Source organism: Homo sapiens, chromosome 7 (genome assembly GCF_000001405.40).
Source record: "Homo sapiens chromosome 7, GRCh38.p14 Primary Assembly".
Taxonomy (NCBI): domain Eukaryota; kingdom Metazoa; phylum Chordata; class Mammalia; order Primates; family Hominidae; genus Homo; species Homo sapiens.
Genome location: NC_000007.14, coordinates 132,286,062 through 132,305,698, shown reverse-complemented (window position 1 = coordinate 132,305,698; position 19,637 = coordinate 132,286,062). Strand labels below are relative to the sequence as shown.

The window sequence follows — 19,637 nt, the reverse complement described above, 5'->3', positions numbered from 1 at the left end:
TGGATGTAAATAAACAGCCCGGCCCAGATAATGTTCCAATAAACAAACAAGCAGCTGCCAGGAGCTCCCCGGATGGCTGACCTTTGCGGAGGCCACGCTGCTGATGTTTCAATAGCAGTCTGTCTGGCAGTGCGGAGACTCACCGTGCCAGGGATGGAGATAGGTGGCGGTGCCCACTGGTGGATCGGCAGGGGGCCAGCAGGGCTGGAGGAAAGGGGCTGGCTGCCTTGGAAGATCCCGGGCCAGGGACTGAGTGGCTGGGGATGCAGATGCCTGGATACCCAGAGTAGAGTGTGTGTGTGTGTGTGTGTGTGTGTGTGTGTGTGTGTGTGTGTGTTCTTGGTAAGCTGCATGTAGTGTGGAGTAGTGCAGTGCACACTGAACACTGTAGTGGAGGTTTCTGTGTGGCACAGGCAAGATGATGCTCAGTCCTTAAGTGCTCATGTGGCCTCACCAGTCGTTAATATTGAAATGCATCTATGCAATTGTTAGTCAGTTGCTGCCCCCAGCCCCAGATGCCCACCACCGTCTAGGTGTCCCACTTATCACCACTCTCTCCCAAGGCAGTATTACTTGGTGCAGGTAAGAGTCTCCAAGAATCCCCTCCCACAGCAACGATTCTGGCTGACTGGTTGGTCCCCTCCCACGAGCAGGGGTACCAGGGGTCCTGCTGCGCAGGAGGTTTGCCCAGAGTGTGGGAAGAGAAGGCATGGGTGCATCAAATGAGCCTGGATTAGAATGAGGCCCATGCAGCAGCATTCTGACTTGATGGGGACCATACAGCTGGCTGGATCATACAGCCCAAGAATGCCCAAAAAGTAAGGGCAATGGGGCACACTGCACTGTGCTGTAGCTTGAAGGTCCCTGGGAGACACAAAGGGGTTGCAGCAGAGGACAGGGGGGAGGGAGGGCCGGTTGGGGTTGGGGGTGGTTGCAAAATCTCAATGGAGCATGCCTCCGGGGGATAGTCACCAAACCAAATTATTAGCAAGGTCACTTGGTGAATGCAGAATCAATACACAGGAAAGAGAATAGTCTAGAATTGTGCTGTCCAATATGGTAGCCTCTGGCCACATAGTGAGCACCTGAAACGTGGCTGCTCCAAACTGAGCTGTGCTGTAAGTTTAACATGCACCTCAGGTGGCAAAGGTTTAGTTAGTATGAGGAAAAGAATGTAAAATATCTCAATAAAATTTTTATACTTGTAGACATGCTAATGTCATATTTGGGGTATATTGGGTCAGATTAAACATATTATGAAAATTAATTTTACTTGTTTTGTAAAATTTGGCCACTACTAGAAAATTTTAAATAACGTATGTGACCCACATTTGTGGCTTGTACTATCTTCCATTGTCCAGTGCTGTTCTGGAACTATCTACGGGGGCTGAGGTGAGGCCTGCAGGGGCACCCCTCCCTACTACAGAGGACACAGTGGCTCTCTGATCTTCTCTAGTCTCTCTCTCTCCTCAAGATGATGCTGCAGGAAGATGATCAAATTCTTCCCCTCAGACGCCCTTTTTCCAAGTTTTACTCTAACCCTTCTCTCAGTATGTTACGTCTTTATGAAATCTATTAGTCCTGCTAATTTTGCTACTTCAGATCAGCCTTCCTACTGATCTAAAAGATTTTGTCCCCTAAGGTGGCTTTGAGTAAATCTGACGTTACCTGCTATGTGTTGTATTAGTCAAGCTCTCATCACTGGCATGCCATATTGGTAGCTCTTGGTCATGATGCTCCCTGCCCACTAGCCTCGCCTGGAGCTGGGCTGATCATCCCTGGTTAAACTCCAGTTGGCTAGATCTCCTGAGAAGAACAAAGAGAGGCCTTAGAACACTCCTCTGCCATAGCATTTGCCACCTGGCATTATTTGTGTGAAATCTGAGCCCTCCAGGAGACAGGCCTCCTGGAAGGCGGGGCTGGCACTTACCACCTCTTCTCTCTAGGAGAGGCTCTGGAACAGTGGGCATTCAACAGACACATGGTGGGTGTGGGATGTGTCGCTCCGTCAAGGGACACACAGGATTGGGATGTGGTTTCCTCCTTGGTGTCATCCTCAGAGATTAACATCTTCCAAACAACCAAAGTACCTTCGTGACCTGTGATTGGTTTCTTTACATTTTCTTTTTTGAGACGGAGTCTTGCTCTGTCGCCCAGGCTGGAGTGCAGTAGCACCATCTTGGCTGACTGCAACCTCCGCCTCCCAGGTTTAAGCTATTCTCCTGCCTTAGCATCCCGAGTAGCTGGGACTACAGGCGCCCACCGCCACGCCCAGCTAATTTTTGTGTTTTTAGTAGAGACAGGGTTTCACCATATTGGCCAGGATAGTCTTGATCTCTTGACCTCGTGATCCGCCCACCTCGGCTTCCCAAAGTGTTGGGATTACAGGCTTAAGCAACAGCACCCGGCCAATTTCTTTACATTTTCTACCAAAAAAAAAAAAAAAAAAATCAACTTCTGTTTTCATCCTTTCTCATTGTTTAGGTGATCCACAAGTATCTATACTATGTAAAAATAAGAAATCTAGGCTGGGCCTGGTGGCTCACGCCTGTAATCCCAGCACTTTGGGAGGCCGAGGCGGGCAGATCACGAGGTCGAGTTTGAGACCAGCCTGGCAAATATGGTGAAACCCCGTCTCTACTAACAATACAAAAATTAGCTGGGCGTGGTGGTAGGTGACTGTAATCCCAGCTACTCAGGAGGCTGAGGCAGGAGAATCGCTTGAACCCAGGAGGCAGAGGTTACAGTGAGCTGAGATCGTGCCATTGCACTCCAGCCTGGGCAACAAGAGCAAGAATCTGTCTGAAAACAAAAACAAACAAACAAACAAAAAAGAAATCTAATTTGTTCAAGTTGTCATGTTACAAGTGTTGGGGTGGCCTCTGTATTGGTGACTGAACCATGGCCACTGGTCAGTGTGTCTTCTTTCATCTCAACTATTTCTTTCTGGCATGGGCTGTCTTTCCTAGGCTGTTCTTGAGTTGCAGGCATCTGGATTGTGTTCCTACCTTATGAGCGGTGAACTGAATGTGATCTCGTATGTTCAGGTGAACTTGACCAAGATGATGGCTTCTGCTTGTCTGTTTTTCTATGAAATCTTACTTAAATGCTGCCTAACATTTTGTGGGCCTTTTTGGCTGCCCGAGTATTGGGAGTAGTAAATGGTGGCTCTGATCCCTTCCTCGATCCTGACTCTTACCTCGATTATAACTAGCAGCTCAGATATTAGAGACTGTGGTTGTTTTACATTTATTCAGTAATTACTTACTAAGCACCAACCATGTATTGGGGATTGCACTGAGTACAGCAGGCATGACCTCTTCCTTGGGAGACTCATGGTCCCAGGGCTATTTGCCACGTGGCAACTGTCAGCCCCTGCAGAGGGTGGACCATTTTTTTTTGTAGTTCACCTTTGTTATTGGCCTTCTTGCTGTCCCAAAGAGTTTAGAATCATTTGCACATTTTCCTGCTCCCTCCTCCAGACCATTTATAAAAAATATTAAATGAGACTAGTCGTAACACTAGTTACTTCTCCATGCAGAAATCTGTCTTTTCCTGTCTCTTAGTCAATTCTCTCTCTCCATGGCCAAACTGCCCGAAGTCCCATGGAGACTCATTATTTTTAAATAACTTTTCATGTGGAACCTTGTCAAAGGCTTCTGGAAAATCTAAATAGCTAAGAGACAAGCACTGAGCTAGGAATCAGGAGACCTGGGTTCTAGTCTTATATGCCATTGGTTTATCATTGAACTTGGGGCAAGGCACAGAACAGCCTCCATCTTGGCTGCTTCATCAGGAAGATGAGAATGATTATTCTGGCAATCAACATCATAAAAATTTTACAACCATCAGCTGAGACAGTGTTATTTAAGAATGCTTTGCAAGGTATAAAGCAAAAATATAAGGGATCATTATTTAGAAAATTTACAACAGCATCTTCATTCATATGCACGTTTCTCTCCCAGAACTGCAGTAGATAAAGACATGGCTCCTCCAGCACCCCTGGGGTGATGCTTGTTTAAAATCAACTCCTTTGACGTCTTGAAGGAATGCAGGTTTACATAAACAATAGTGCCGGATTCAGTGTGAGCCTTTGGTGTAGAGTGTGAACTCATAGAAGCATGACCACTGGAAACAATCAGACCCTGGTAAGGGTGCAGCCTGTGCCATCCGCCAGATGTGTGACCTTAACCAAGTTATTTAACCTTTTTTGTGCCACACCTATAAAGGGGGACAATATTAATGCTTACTTTACTGAGTTCTGAGATTTAAATAAGAAAATAAATATATATAAAATGCCTATCATTGTCCCAGACCCATAGTGGCCACTCAATAAATAACAGCTCTTGTTCTATTTGTCTATGTTAAGGGTCCAAGAGCCGGCAGCTGGTCCATTCTACCTAAATTTTTGTATTGCTCATCAAACATTCAGTAAATTCCACCATAAACTCCTTTATCCATGTCTTGTGTGAATTTTTTCAACAGATGAATAAATAATGCTTTTCTTTGGTTTTCTGAAAATTTGTTGGAGGGTGGGGTGGGAAAAGAGAGAAGGAGCCTTTCCAGTTACATATTTCTCGCTGGCAGAGTGCAGAGGGTGGGGACTAATCTGCATCCAGCCTCCTTGCAGAAGGCCAGGCCTATGGAACCTTGTCCAGTTGGTGCTTCCTCATCCACCCCTCTGTCCATCCCCCAAGTCAACTGGCTTCCTTTGATGTCCAGCCACACCCAGCAAACCCCTCATCCTAAGGAGCAGTGAAGTTGGAGTCGAAAGATAAAGGAGACTGCTCAGGCACTGAATGTAATTTCATTTGGGGATCAGGCCAAGGGGCACTGGATGGAGCTTAGTTCCGCCAGCACTCCCCTGGGGACCCTGCTCTGGCCGACGGTGGCCTGAGGGGGCTGGAGACCAGCCAGGGCATTCAGTATCACTCTCTGCTCCTGCTCCAGGGGCACCTCCCAGCTGGGGATGAAGCTTGGCTGGGCCAGGGGCCAAGGCCATCATTGCACGGTCAGACTTGGGTGGTAATCCCAATTGGTTTTGCATGAACTCCTGTTTCATCTAGATTAGGAAAGGACCTGGCCAGCATGGACATCTGGTGGCTTGGGGTGGGCACAGAAGAAGGAAGGCTCTGGGAATCAGAGGCATTTCCATTTTTGACACTAACCACGACTCCTTAAATCCTTTAACTGTTGTTTTCATGGGCTTAATGGGAAACCATCAAAGAGGAATCTGAACTACATTCATTAATTTATTCATTTTTAAAATAAATATTTGTCAGGTTCAAGTGTTTGAGCACCAAAATCAAGAATGACTAGAGAAAGTCTCAGGAATTGTACAGACTAGAGACAGACCCTGACCTCAGCTCCCTGCCTTTAGGTGGCCACCACCGGGAGACATACAGGAAACCCTCTGGGAGCAAGGACTCTCATGTAACTGGTGGTAGGAAAAGCATGGACTTCCAGAGTCAAACTGAATTCTAATTCTGTCCCCAGATTTTATCCCACAGGCCACTTGTTTAATGTACCTGGGTATCATTTTTCTTGTCTATTATCAGTGCATCCACTAGGACTTTTGATGTTGCAAAAAACCTTTGTATTACTTTAACCTAAAGAAAATATCTGCAGTAACTAGGAAGTCCCAATGTCAGGCAGGCTTTGGGGTTACTTTGATTCAGTGGCTCAGCGATGTCACCAAAGACCAATATTTTCCCATCTCTGTGTTTGACCTGCCCTGGTTCCAGTTCCCTTCCTTGTTAGGAGAGGGCTGCCCACAGATCTTTGAGCCGCAAGTTCATTCTACCCCTTTGAGAGTGAAGAAAGATGGCCTCTTCTTTCTACCATGAGTCCCTGCTTTGCTCTGATTCACGTTGATTGGCTTGAGCCTATTTTCTCTTAATCACTGTGGCAGAGAGTAAGATCAAGCTGGTTTGTTTATGCTCATCACGGACAACCTGGGAAGCAAGGAGTGGGTTCAATCCCACCCAAAAGGTGGGAGAAGGTGGAATGGATGCTGGAGGGACACATGAGCCGTGATGAATGAACATTAAACCCACAGGATTGAGAGGATTATATCAATAAGGAATTATGTGCAAAACCATCTCCCAGTACCTGATGTCCATGAAGCTTGAAAATAATGCTTAAAAGGAAATTTTAAAAATCAGAGTCCAGAACAAACCCAAAATCAAGCAAATAAACCACAAAATAACCTGATATCAGAGTTCATGGACTCAAGAGAAATGAAAGGTGGGAGCCTTCTGGGGGACCTGGTGTGGTCAGTTGTCATTAACATGGTGTTCTTTCTGTAATTTAGTTCCTCAGAATGACTCTTTTATTCTCCTTGATCTTGTGAGAGGTTAAAAATTATACATTAAAAATTAAAAATAAGAGTGCCTAATGGGAATATTTGGAATATAATTTTTTTCTTTAGTTTTATTGTTGAAATCTCTAAAATTACGTTATGTGTAGCTTACAGTTGTGCATGTGGTAGGGAAGTGTGGTGATCCCCTAGTTCTTGCCTAGCCACACTCTCAGTAATATTTGTTCCTGATTTATGGGAGTGGTGTTTTTAGCACTGACTGCGCAGCGGTCATGTTGGATCTATGCACTCAAACACAGGATGTTTCCAGAGACCTTGGCCAACATCCAGAGGCCAGATGAGCATCATGTAGGGTTGGAAAGCTCATGTCTTTTCTAGGTTAGTTCTCATTCATGGGGCATGTGGGCAGAAGTCTTCTTTCCATTGTCTCTATGCTGTCCCAGCATTTCTAGGAAGGACTTATGGATGGCCGGGGATGATCTATTCAGCTGAGTGTTTGCAGAAGGTTGTGGATGACTCATGCCTGAAGCACATTTTCCTGTAATTCCCACATCCCTTTTGCTGGGGACGTGAACAAAACCTCTAGAAGGTTTCAGGACCTAATGGTATAAGTATAAGCCACTATTTCAATGGCAAAAAAAGAGACCCTTAGTGTGAAACCTTTGGGGTTGGCCCCCTGCCTGGTTCACCTTCAAGGAACAGCAATGACATCCAGGTAGCAGTTCCCATCCTTACACTGACATGTTTTTCTGCTAACAAATGCAGCAAATAATATTGCCTTTCCAATGCAGGGTGACGCTCTGATCTGAGGCAGTTTCAATTACATGTTGTTCCTCCAAGCCTCAGAGCCTCATCTTTTTCTCCAAAGACCAGCAAGAAAGGCATCAAATGCTTGAGCCTGAGGCATAGGGAACCAGGGAGATTAAGACTGGATTCTTGGTGAAGCCCAGCTTGGTCCCCCACTTCCCTCTCTGCCACTCCCATCCTGAGGCCCTTGGTGAGCTTATGTCACTCCACTCCTTGGCTTTAGCCTGTGAGCACTGTGGAGACAGAACTCATGCCCTCTCCCTTGGCTGTTGACAGGGTCTTTGGCTGAAGTTTGGCTGTGGGCAGTGCAGGATCTGAACTCACTTTGGCTCTCCTCTTCTTCTCCACAGATCCGGGTGGATGGACCCAGGGGCAACGCCCTCCAGTATGAGACGGTGCAGGTGGTGGACCCCGGCCCAGTCCTCCGGGATATGGCCTTCTCCAAGGACCACGAGCAACTCTACATCATGTCAGAGAGGCAGGTAAGGCTCTTCGGGCTCCGCTAGACATTTGTCTTGCAGTTAAATACTAGCCTGTGGCTCAGTACAAACCTTAGGAGGCCAGCTGCAGAGAGGTGATTTGATTTATTTGGCGTAGTATGTATCTTTTCAGTTATACTTTTCAGTTATGCTGCCTGGGGACTGAGGCTTGGTGTTCTGAAACAGGAAAGAAACATTTAAAATATCAAAATATTGGAGAGTCTAAAACAAATCCACTAATTTCAAAATCATGCATATATGTTCGGGGCCAACATTTGCTTTCTTCTGAAGGAACGTCGTACAGATGCCCAAATTGTGGGTCCAGATTTCCCTATACAAAATGCTACCTCATACCAAAGTCACCTTCCTGGCCCCCAGAAGCCTGTGGGATCAAGAATTTATTGCCAAAAGAGTGTAGTTAAGGGAACACCATGGTCAGGACTCAGAAAACAGTCTGTGTGATGAGATGTGATGGGGTAGGGCACGGCCTGAACTTTTGTGTGTACATACAACTCTTTGTGGAAACTCCAGCAAATGCCATGGAGCCCACCCGAGAAGAACAGATATGGTGCAGGTTTGCTGATGCTGAGTAGGAAGTAGAAAACCTGGGCTTGGTTCTCAAACTGAGCTGAGAACGAAGTGAGTTTTTCTGGAGTCCCTGAGCTCAGGCCAGGAGTCATATGTCTGCAGCAGGCAAAGGAAGGGGTTTCACCTTGGACATCCATGTATTTAAGGGTATTTCCTGGAGTCCTCCACCCCACAACACACAGCCCACCCCAAGTGAGGTGCAGCACTGCTGTACCTCTGCCCTGTGGCCTCTGTGGAGGATGGGTCATTCTCGGGAGCTGCCCCTCTATCCCATGAATATGTATGCGTTAGCTCTGAGTGGCAGCAGCGGCCATGAGGGGCAGATCTCCCCTCTTTTTCATCCTCGTCAGCGTGGCCTGAACTCTCTGGAGGACCCTGCTGACAGAGTCTGGATTGTTCTGCCTGGACCCTCTTGGCATTGTGGGGGAGATGAATTCCACATTATGCCACCCACGGGGCTTGTGCATTATGCCTTAACAGTCACAGGAGCTCTGCCCTCCCCAAGAGCTCGATGACATCTTCTCCTGTTGTCAGACTCCCCGTTCTCCCGACTTCAGCCATACTGGGACCCACTGTGCCCTGGATGAGGCTGCCATGGCTTGGGAATGGTCTCATTCCCAAGGTAGGGTGGAAAATGGAGTATTTTTTCCTGGGAGGGGAGACTACCGAGATGGAGCCTGCAGCTGGGCACGAGGCTTCCCATTTGTCTGCATTCCTTGCTTTTATAACAGCTTCCACACTCCCCACTCCAAGCCCACCTCTGAGGCCCTAGGAGCTGAGGGGAAGCAGCTTTCCTTGGTGGCATGAATCATCTGGAGAAGATCTTCACAAGGCATTGAATATTCAAGATTTCTTGCCTGATCTGAAAGCCAGCATTTCTGAACCTGGGACTTAAAACATAAGAGGACTTTCAAAGACGGAAAATATAAACGGAGCCAGGTGCAGGGTCTTGCACCTATAATCCCAGCTGCTCGGGAGGCCAAGGCAGGAGGATTACCGAAAGGCCAGGAGTTCAAGGCCAGCCTGGGCAACATAGCAAGACTTTGTCTCTAAAAAAAAAAAAAGAGAAATTAAAAACAAAAAAACAAAGTATAAGCTGGTAATATGAGTTATCAGCCCCCTTTGAGAACTGAGTCAGCATTCTGAGCATTACTCCTTCCCTGGAGGTGCCCATCTGAATCCTTGTTCACCTCTTTGTCCTCAGCTGTTTCCCCTTGGATGGGTAATGTGGTCACTGTCCATTCAGGCTTGGCAATGAGGCATCCTGAGAACTCCATATTATGGGCACATTGGAAAGGAAGGCAGGAATGAATAGAGCCAGGGTGTTCATCCATTCCAGGGCTGCTCCACACAGATGTGGAGACTGGCCTGCCACCCAAATGACCATCTCAAAGGCCTAACACCTGGGCCGACACTGGTCTCCACTGGGCTTGTGGATTCTTGGTGGAGATTTGTAGAACAGTGCAATGATTAAGTCCACAGGTGTTGCCATTGAAATGTCTGAGTGGGAATCTTAAATCTCATTTACTAAATGTAGTCTCTGGTAAGTTCCTAACCTTAAGATTCAGCATTCTTTACTGTCCTATGTTGGTGACAATAATATCAGATAGTTTTTTTCCAAGAATTGAATGAGATAGGCATATAATAAGCTTAGAACCATGGCTGGCACAGAGTAAGTGCTTGTTAAATGGAGAGACTCTTGTTTTTTATGACTCTGTGACAGGAGTTTCCAGACACTGGCCGTGCTTAGAGTCAGGCAGGGGCTGGTATTGAGATTCTAGATGGTCCATCTGGGTTGGAGCACAGCAGCCCAGGTGAGGCCAAGGGAGGCAGGGAGCAAAAATCCAGTCCCGGGGGAGAGCGCATCAGGAACCCAGGCCTGCTTGACAGGTTGGGCATGCGGAATAGAGCTCAGGGCAAAGCAGCTTGATAAATATACCTGGGTATTTTCCAGACCCAGGGTATCAAGACTAATTCCAGCCTCCTTCAGGTGGTGGGTCTCCCTCAGCCATGATGGGTCAGAACACGTTGCACACTGTGTCTGCAGGCTAAGGGCATAGCTTAGCCATGATGTCAGTGCAGCCTGGAAAGCACTTTCCTTTCTTATGTGACTAATTTTTCCTTGTCCTTCAAAACTTAGCTCGGCTGTCACATTCTTCATTGGACTATTCCTGGCCTGCAGTTAGACATGTCTATAGTAGCTCTTGTCAGACCAGGCTGTGATTATGACTTCCTTGTCTCTCTTGCTGCCAGCAGCTTGAGAGCATCCGATGCCTTGCCAGCCTAAACTTCACCTAATAGGCCCCTCTTAATTTTTTAATGAATGAGTCCCCAGTGCCCTCATTGAACCAGAATTGGAAAAGAGAGGTACCAACACAAATAACCTATTGCTTCAGTTTATTACAAAGTTCAAACTTAAGTCAGATAAGGGAAGCACTTCCTGCATGTCAGTAATCTACCACTTATATTCATTGGCTAGGGCTGCCATAACAAAATAGCACAGACTGGGGAGCTTAAACAACAGAAATTTGTTTTCTCATAGCTTTGGATGTTGGAAGTCCAGGATCACAGTGTCAGCAGGGCTGGTTTTTTCTGAGGCCTCTCTCCCTGGCTTGCAGATGGCCACCTTCTCACTGTGTCCTCACATAGCCTTTCCTCTGTGTGCACAGCCCTGGTGTTTCTCTATGTGTCCTACTCGCCTCTTCTTCTAAGAGCACCAGTCAAATTGGATTAGGGCCTCTCTCTATCAGCCTCATTTTAACATAAACACCTTGATATGGTTTTGCTGTGTCCCACCCAAATCTCATCTTGAGTTGTAGCTCCCATAATTCTACGGACTCTACAAAATGTTTCCAGAATATGGCTATTTCCCACCACTTCATTGTTACCCACCTGGATTGAACCCCCATGGTCTCTTGCCTGAATATTTGCAATAGCCCTCCAACTACTCTCTCTGTTTCCACCTTTGTCTTTCCAGTCTTTTCTCCATGCAGCAGTTAATCTTCAAAAGTTTGAGTTAGATAGTGTCATTCCTCCGTTTAAATCCTTTCAATGACCAAAGTGCCTATGAAGACCCACAGGGCCTTATATGCTCTGTCCTCATGAGATGTCCAAGCTCATCACCTGCCGCTCTCCCCGCTCTCCCTGCTCCCCTAGTCTGCAGGGCCAGGGCGGGAGAGAGTGCTCTGGACACAGAAATGTCCTCTGTGATGCTCCTGCAATATGGCAGGCTCCTGCTTCAGGATCTTTGTCCTGGTTGTTCCCCTTTGCCTGGAATTCTATCCAGGTATCTGCGTCCCCTGAGTACCACAGGTAAAACTCTAGATTGCCTTCCACTCAGACTCATAAACTCCCAATCTCCTCTCCTGGCTCTATTTTTATCCATAGCACTTAGTCTCTTCTTATTTGCTATATGATTCTTAATAATTGTTCTGTATTATATGTCTTCCTCATTTAAAATGTAAACTCCATAAGAATATGATTTTTTGTTTTTTAGTCTCTTTAGTTTACTTGTGTGTTACCCCTAGAACAGCACTGACACCTAATAAACACTCAAATCACATTTGTGGAATGGGTGACTAAATGGATCTGGGCTCAAGAGAGCTGTGGTTTCAATTTTGGTGCTCTGGTTGCTCCTATAACTGAAGACTAAAATCTAACATGAAACATACTAGCACCTGTATTCCCAGATCTTAGTGGAAGGGCATCCTAAACATATGTGAGAGTGGCAATCTGGATGATAATCCAGGAGGCTTATATGGGATTGAAGGACACATTTTCTAACAGGGATCACTGTGTAAAAAAACTGGTGGTAGAAAATGTGTGCTTTATGCTGTCCATTCTTACATACCAGCCTCTCTCTTCTCTGATCTGTTTGGTATCTGCAGCAGGGCAGTGGCCTAAACAACCTTTTTGTCCTGGTGTTGTGTTCAATACAATGACAGGTGATATGGTTTGGCTGTGTCCCCACCTAAATCTCATCTTGCATTGTAGCTCCCATAATTCCCATGTGTTGTGGAAGGGACCTGGTGAAAGATAATTGAATCCTGGGGGTGGTTTCCCCCATGCTGTTCTCATGTAGTGAATAAGTCTCACAAGATCCGGTGGTTTTATATTTGCTTGGCTCTCATTCTGTCTTCCCTGCCGCCATGTAAGATGTGATTGTGAGGCCTCCCCAGCCACATGAAACTCTGAGTCCATTAAACCTCTTTTTCTTTGTAAATTACCCAGTCTCAGGTATGTTTTTTTCAGCAGCATGAAAACAAGCTAATACAACAGGCGAAGAGATGAGCAACTGAATCGGGAGGCTTGTGAGCACTTTCCAAGTTAACAGAATGGGTGTTCATGGACCCCTCCTACCATCAGGGGCATCTCATCATTCTTGGCATAAGGCCCAAGCTCCTGGCATGGTCCCTTGGCCCCATCCTGTGACTCATCTCCACCTCTGCAAGCTCATTTTGTGACCCTGGACCCTGGCTCTCCGTGTACCAGCAAACAGGCCTTTGTTCTGTCCCTGAGCCCAGCTCCTTCCTGCTGCAGAACTTGCACGCTTACTGTTTCCTCTGCTGTGAAAACTCTCTGGCTTTTCCTGTGGCTGGTCCCTCCTCATGCCTGTGGTTTTTGCTCAAATATCGTGTCCTCAGAGAGGCCTCCGCTGGCCACCCTACATAAATATCCCTCACCCTGGAATCTTGACTTCTTCCTATTAAGTCTTTTTGTTTACTCCCTTCTGCTGCCCACCACAGTATGAAAATTACCTGTTTATTTCCCATCCCTATGAATTAGCATATAAGTTCCTGGAGGGCAGGGACCTTGTCTCTCTTGTGTCTAGCAGGTAGAGGAAGACCTCACCCAGAGAAAGGGCCAGGTATATTCTTATAGAGTTAATATGAGTGAATGAGCTTTGGACTTCATCTGTTTGTGATGAAGAGCAGCCCTTCTTTGAGAGCACTCTGATTTTGGTGAGACTGGGACCTCCTGCCTGGAGATGACGCCTGAAGACTTAAATAGAGATGGCAGGATTCTGAGTTTTATTAAGAACCAGATAACTTTGATTCGTCAGCAACCCGGCAAGCTCTATCTAGGGTGTTACCTCTGCCCCTGAGGAATGTTCCTCTTTACCATTTGGTGGGCAGGGGCTGCTCTCTCTTCTAAACACTCTTTCATCCCTTCTTGTCCCTAGTTTCTTTGTGGATGGAGATGCTGCTCTCTGCCACCTCCAGCCTCCCTCTGATTTACCTGATACCACACTGGGGGACACAGAGTGCAGGAAAGAGGCATTTGACAGTCAGGGGAAATATTTTGCGTCATATTTTAGTAGTCGTGAAACAGTTAATGAATCCATAGTTAAAGAAGTATCCAGAGAGATCAACTAACTTTGACTCCCCACTGCTGTTTGAAACTTTCCTGGGGGCTGAGTGTGGGGGCTCACGCCTGCAATCCCAGCATTTTGGGAGGCTGAGGAGGGCAGGTCACCTGAGGTCAGGAGTTCGAGACCAGCCTGGCCAACATGGAGAAACCCATCTCTACTAAAAAGACAAAACATTAGCTGAGCCTGGTGGCATGCACCTGTAATCCCAACCACTCGGGAGGCTGAGGCAGGAGAATCGCTTCAACCTGGGAGGCGGAGGTTGCAGTGAACTTAGATCATGCCACTGCACTCCAGCCTATGTGACTAGTGAGACTCTGACTCAAAAAATAAATAAATAAATAAACTCTCCTTGGGTTCCAGTGTTCCTCATTCCATATGCTGAAATAGGCCAGCTCTTGGCATGTGGTAGGATGAATGCATGGTAGAGAGGATGAATGGATGGCCAGCTCTCGACATGCAGGGTAAGGATTATATGACTAATGGAGGTAGAGAATGGAGTGTGTGTGTGTGTACACATGTGCATATCTGCACACAAATGCTACATATTTTCTGGCTCTGTCACCCATTCCCTCAGCACCTTATTCATTCAATATTCAACAAATGTTTACTGAGCACCTGCTCTGAGCCAAGCATTCTTCTAGGATACCAGGAATTCCATGGGGAACAATACAAGCAAAGTCCTTATCCTTATAGGCCTTACATTCTGGGCAGAGAGACAGCGAATGAGAGAATGAGTGAATGGCTTAGATCAGGTAATAGTGAACAGAGTGAAAAATTAAACCGACTCAGGAGAAATAAGGTGATGGCCAGAAGAGTGGAGGGGAGTGCTCTTTTAAAGATGGTTGCAAGGGAAATTCTCCAAGGAGGGAACTTTTGAGCAAAAAGCAGAAGAGAGTGAAGTGGTGCGAGAGGACCGTCTGGGGAGAAGTGGTCCAGGTGGAGGGAACAGCAAGCACAGAGGCCAGAGACGGCATGTGACATGTGTTTTTGAGGACACCGGACGGGCTGCCAGGAGGGGAGAAGGGGGAAAGTGGTGAGTGAGACAGCTGAAGACAGAGGCCAGCTCAGATCACCCCAGCCTCCGTGTGCACCTGTGAAATGGGGATTTAGTAAACAGTATTGATCTCCTGGAGTGAGTGAGGATTCAATGAGATATTCCATGTAAAAGAGCTTAGCTCAGAAAGAACATTCAGCAAACGTTAGCTATTAGATTATTTGCAAATTACGTAGTTCTGTAGCCTGGATATGGTTTCTCTTATCATGGACGTGTGGGTCCCTCTGTGAGCTCTTGCAGCAAATGCCATGTTCCGGGTACACTTCTGCTTGGAGTGTACGAGTGTGCACTGTTAAGTGTCAGTGTCATTTTGTCATGATTTAACTGTCTCTTTCAGAGCCGTGTTACGTTTCTCTCTGTCTCTTTTCTTTCTTCTGCATGATTCTGGATATCTCTCAGCTGTGTGTGCACATGCACACCCACCCCTTCCCCTGTGTCTATCCCTGTCTGTGTGTCTCTGTTAGCCTCCTTCTTGCTTTGTATGTGTATGCATGTATATGAGTGTGGTGTGTATTTACTAAAATTCCAGTAACCCCAAGGGAATGTCTATACACACTGAAACCAGTGTGATAAAAACCTGCCAAGCCAATGGGAAGGAGGTGAGGGGAAATGTCAGTGAGGCAGATAAATGAGAAGATGAGGTGGCAGAGCTGGGACCATCCTTGTTCTTGGGTGCCCTGGAGTGACCCCTACCAGGGGAGAAGCAGCTGTCCCCCAGACAAGGCGAGTATCTTCTTTGATAGACCCAGAGGAAGTGGCAGATTTCTCAGTGAATTTCAATGTATCTGCCTCTCCACACACCAGCCCTTTCCTTCCTGGAAGCCAGAAGCCTCAAACACACATTTCTGCTTTGGGGATCTGTTTCAGCGATGTTTGGACCAAAGCCATCTTTTATGGTGTCCTTTGTTTTACTGACTCCTGTTCACAGTGGGTCTGCTTCCAGGTGCTGGGGGACTCCTGCAGCCTGTCCTTCTGAGCTGCCGGTGCTCAAGTCCTTGCTATAAAGCAGGATGCGGACGCCTGTGGGGCCTGAGGAGGTGGGCCTGGAGGTGAGTTCCCTGCCCATAGGCATTGCCCAGGATAGCAGCCTTGCCTGGCTCCTTCCAGCGTAAACCAGTAGTGAAGTGGCGAGGGCCACCTTGCTTTATAGCATATTACTCAGGCCTGATTCATTCATTCGTTTAGGAAACAGAGATCAACCTGGGCAACATAGAGAGACCCTATCTCTAAAAAAAAAAAAAATTAATTAGCTGGGCACTGTGGCTCATACCTATAATCCCAGCACTTTGAGAGGCCAAGGTAGAAGAATTGGTTGAGGGCAGGAGTTTGAGACCAGCCTGGGCAATATGGCAAAATCCCATCTCTACAAAAAATTTAAAAATTATCCAGGTGTGGTGGTGTGCACCTGTAGTCCCAGCTACTCAGGAGGCTGAGGCAGAGGGATTATTTGAATCTAGGAGGTTGAGGCTGCAATGAGCCGTGGTCATGCCACTGTACTCCAGCCTGGGCAACAGAGGGAGATGACTTCTCTAAAAAAAAAATAAATAAAAATAAATTTTTTTAAAAGATGCATTCCCTAAGCTCCCTCCTACTATGTGCCAAGCACCAGTCAAGGCATTGGGAATACAACCATGAAGAAACAGTGACATATCCCTATGCTTTTAGCAAAAGGAAGCAGCAAAGAAGGAACCAACCTAAGAAATAAATCAGAGACTAGGTTAGCAGGTGATAAACACTCCAGAAAAAGGAAATCAAGTGGATTAAGTGGAGTCAGGATCCTTGTGAGGGTGAAAGGGTTGCATTTTAAAAGAGAGTGGTCAGATGGGCATACAAGAGGAGAAGGGGAGGCCTGTCCATGTTGTCCTGTCCCTTTCCTTCTTCTATTTATTTGCAAGTTCTTTGTTTGGGGTTGTGAAATTGAAAGATAGTGAAGCCAGCCTCTCTGGAGGGAAGAGGTGAGAGGAGGCATCGTGATTGTTTTTTACCATGCTGAGAGCTTCAGAAGGAGCTATAGTTCAACGGGGAGGTAGTATCATGGTCTAAGAAGGCAGCATCGCTTGAGGCTTGGGACCCCTAAGTGGATGTTGCCTCCACCAGGGACCCCCTGTGTGATGAAGGAGTCATTACCATTTCTTTGCACCTCAGTGTCTGTCCCTGTCTCCACCCTGCCTCCCAGGATGTTCTGAGGAAGGTGATGTGAAGTCTGACAGTCTTGGAGGTCTATAGACATTGATTTGATAGAAGAGGCTGTTGTGGAGATACTGTCTGCAGCCAAAGGTGCTGGGCTCCTGTGAAAATGAGTCCTGCCCTCAGCACTGTGTCTGTGGGCATGTCTCATGTAAGGTGCACTGGATGGTGATGCAACCGTCTCTCTGCCATCCTCTCTGCCCCTGTGGGGGCCGAGCTGTACACTCCAGTTAGTGTTTGGATGGCTGACACGGTGACAAGCCCACGTGGATGTTTGCTCCTGGCACCCAGGCTGGCCTATGTCTGATAGCTCCTGGGAGAGCAAACTTGAAGCACAGGGCTGAGGAATGAGTGACAGGAAATGGAGCCACCTCAGACATTCACAAAAACAGAAAAGCTGTCTCAATGTTTCACCCAATTTCACTCAGGTGGGAGCCTTCCCATTTGTCTGGAACAGATTCTGAAGGTTCCAGAATGTCATTACTGAGATATTCCCACTTCCCACTTCATTCTCAATCAAGGCAGGATGTCTGCATTTTACCACGGCAGAACTGGAGGAACCAGAGGGGAAGTGACTTCCCTCCCTAGTTTCCTACAGTCAGTAGGTGCTGAATTGTCCACTGTACCCTAAAACCTTAGGCCTGGAAAACGCTACTGGCTTATCTGGCGCAACACGCTCCTACTGCACTTTGTGATCAGTGTGGAAACTGAAGCACAGAGGAGGGAGCAGGTCATCCAGAGTCACCAGCAGTTTGGGGGAGGAGCTGAGCTTGAATATAGGGCTCAGCTCCTTCTGCAATGCCTTTCCCAGCCCCCTCCTCCAACGAGGAATGGGGAGCCCTCTGTGAGAGCAAGAGATACTATCCATCATCTTGACTTTCCAGTAAAAAGTGGTACGCCCCACTCTTGGGTGTCAGAACCAGCCATAGAAGGCAGAAGGAGTCTCTGGGGATGGGGTGGTGGAGCAGTGCAGATGTGATCAGAACTCAGAACCAGCCTCGGCCCCATGAAGGAGGTCCCTTGGTTTACTTCTCCTTTGTTGTAGCCTGACACAAGGTGGGACAAGTGCCCCTTTGCAACCTCTAGGGCATCCCGGGGTACATGGAGCCCTGGGTGGCACCAGCCTCACCTCACAGAGGGAGTAGGCAGGGTAGCAGCCCACCACCCCCACTGTTTTTTTCTGACTGACGTGTTTCTACATGGTCACTGGTGTAGGCAAAAGTCTCTGACATCTGAGTATGATCACCACAGTGGCCTGGCATCTCTCAGACAGACCATGGGGGTGACCAGAAAGTATAAGCATGTGCAGGATGGAGGCTCCGGGGGGGGTCATGAACAGATCACGGACTTGGCTTTTCATACCCGTCCTTAGTACTCACCAGCTGTGCCACCTGGAGCAACTCACTCAAGCAGTTCATGCTTTGGTTTTTTATGTAGAAAATTAAAGTGATGATAACTCTCTTTCAGCACTTTTAGGATTGAAGTTAATATATGTAAAGTGCCTAGCACGTAGTAGGCTTTTAGTAAGTTGTGGTTGCTGTCATCATTATCATTATTCTTATTACAATTAGAAAATGTATTGTTAATCCTAGCACTTTGGGAGACCAAGGCGGGCAGATTGCCTGAGCTCAGGAGTTCGAGAACAGCCTGGACAACACGGTGAAACCCCATCTTTACTAAAAATACAAAAAGTTAGCCAGGCCTTATTGTGCGTGCCTATAGTCTCAGCTACCTGGAAGGCTGAGGCATGAGCATCACTTGAACCCAGGCGGCAGAGGTTGCAGTGAGCCGAGATCATGCCACTTCACCCCGGCTTAGGTGACAGAGTGAGACTCTATGTCCAAAACAAACAAACAAAAACGTTGTTAGGGGCAGGGAAGCCTGGACAAACCACTGCTTGGTGGCTAAAGGCCAGTTGAGCTCCAGGCACCAGCTACCCAGGATTCTGTGCTTCCCCTATCTATCATCTCAAAGCCTCTAGAAAGTACTCAGGCAGAGACTCCCTTCATAGTAAGGAGCACTGCCTTCCAGGGGATGGAGGGCCCAGGAGGCTGTGGTCTCCCACCCTAATCAGAGAGAGCTATGTTGTCTCTGGATTTTTCTCTGTAACTCTGCTTCCACTCCAGGGAAGGAGTCTGAATCCATTTGAGTCCAACCTCATTGGATATATGAAGTTATCACAGATTGGGTAGCTGAAGAAACTTTTGGTCCCTCATCTTCCAGGACTTCTAGAGCAGAGGGAAAACTGGCTCATTTTCCTTCTCTCTGCCCCAGAATAGAGAAGAAGAGCTATGATGTGGAGGTAGAGCAGGGGTGGGTGAGGGAGGATGTGGAGCAGGAGAAAAGCTGAGGAAACCCAAGGGCCAGTAGTTAAGGAAAGCGCTGGCAGGTCTCTAATCCTGAACTCCATTAAGCATCTGTCTCTGGCAATTGTCCTGACAATTATTGCGCCTTCTCCTAACTTAGCGCCGGTGTCCTGTTACTTTCGGGGCACTCTAAGTGCCATTTTTAAAGACAACCACCTATAATCATCCACTTAGCAGCACATGAGGAGACTCCACAGGGTGGACAGACAGGGCCAGGGCTGCTTCTCTGCTAGCTTCCAGCTCCTGTCCCACCATGTCTGTTTAGTAAGCGCCCACTGCATGCCCCACACAGAGCCAGTCCCTGTACACAATCAGAGAAGGGCCGAGGGAAGGCCTTGTTCTGGAAGCTCTGCAGTGGTAAAGTGAGAGCAAACTCCAGCTTGAAGGGTGTTGAAAAGAGTGTGGTCCTGCTGTGGGAATTGCTCCAGAAACCCAACTTTCTCATGGAGTTAGGGATCAGGGAAGA

At 47.3% G+C, this 19,637-nt stretch overlaps 1 protein-coding gene across 8 annotated transcripts in view, besides 1 other annotated feature; it reads left to right on the top strand.

The window, feature by feature from the left end:
* Positions 1–19,637, top strand: part of PLXNA4 (plexin A4) — a 525,349-nt gene that overhangs the window by 342,990 nt on the left and 162,722 nt on the right. For all 8 annotated transcript variants that reach the window (XR_927546.3, NM_001393897.1, XM_017012779.1 and 5 more), the window contains one exon: positions 7,477–7,608. Coding sequence is in view for 7 of the 8 variants with exons in the window: in NM_001393897.1 (NP_001380826.1) it covers positions 7,477–7,608 (132 nt within the window). In the remaining variant the exon portion in view is untranslated. The remainder of the gene's footprint in view (positions 1–7,476; positions 7,609–19,637) is intronic.
* Positions 8,251–8,752: an enhancer, noted in NCBI's record as "OCT4 hESC enhancer chr7:131981706-131982207 (GRCh37/hg19 assembly coordinates)". NCBI's record gives its function as "activates a minimal SCP1, AML or CMV promoter by ChIP-STARR-seq in naive H9 embryonic stem cells {active_cell/tissue: H9 hESC(naive)}" and the evidence as "EXISTENCE:reporter gene assay evidence [ECO:0000049][PMID:30033119]".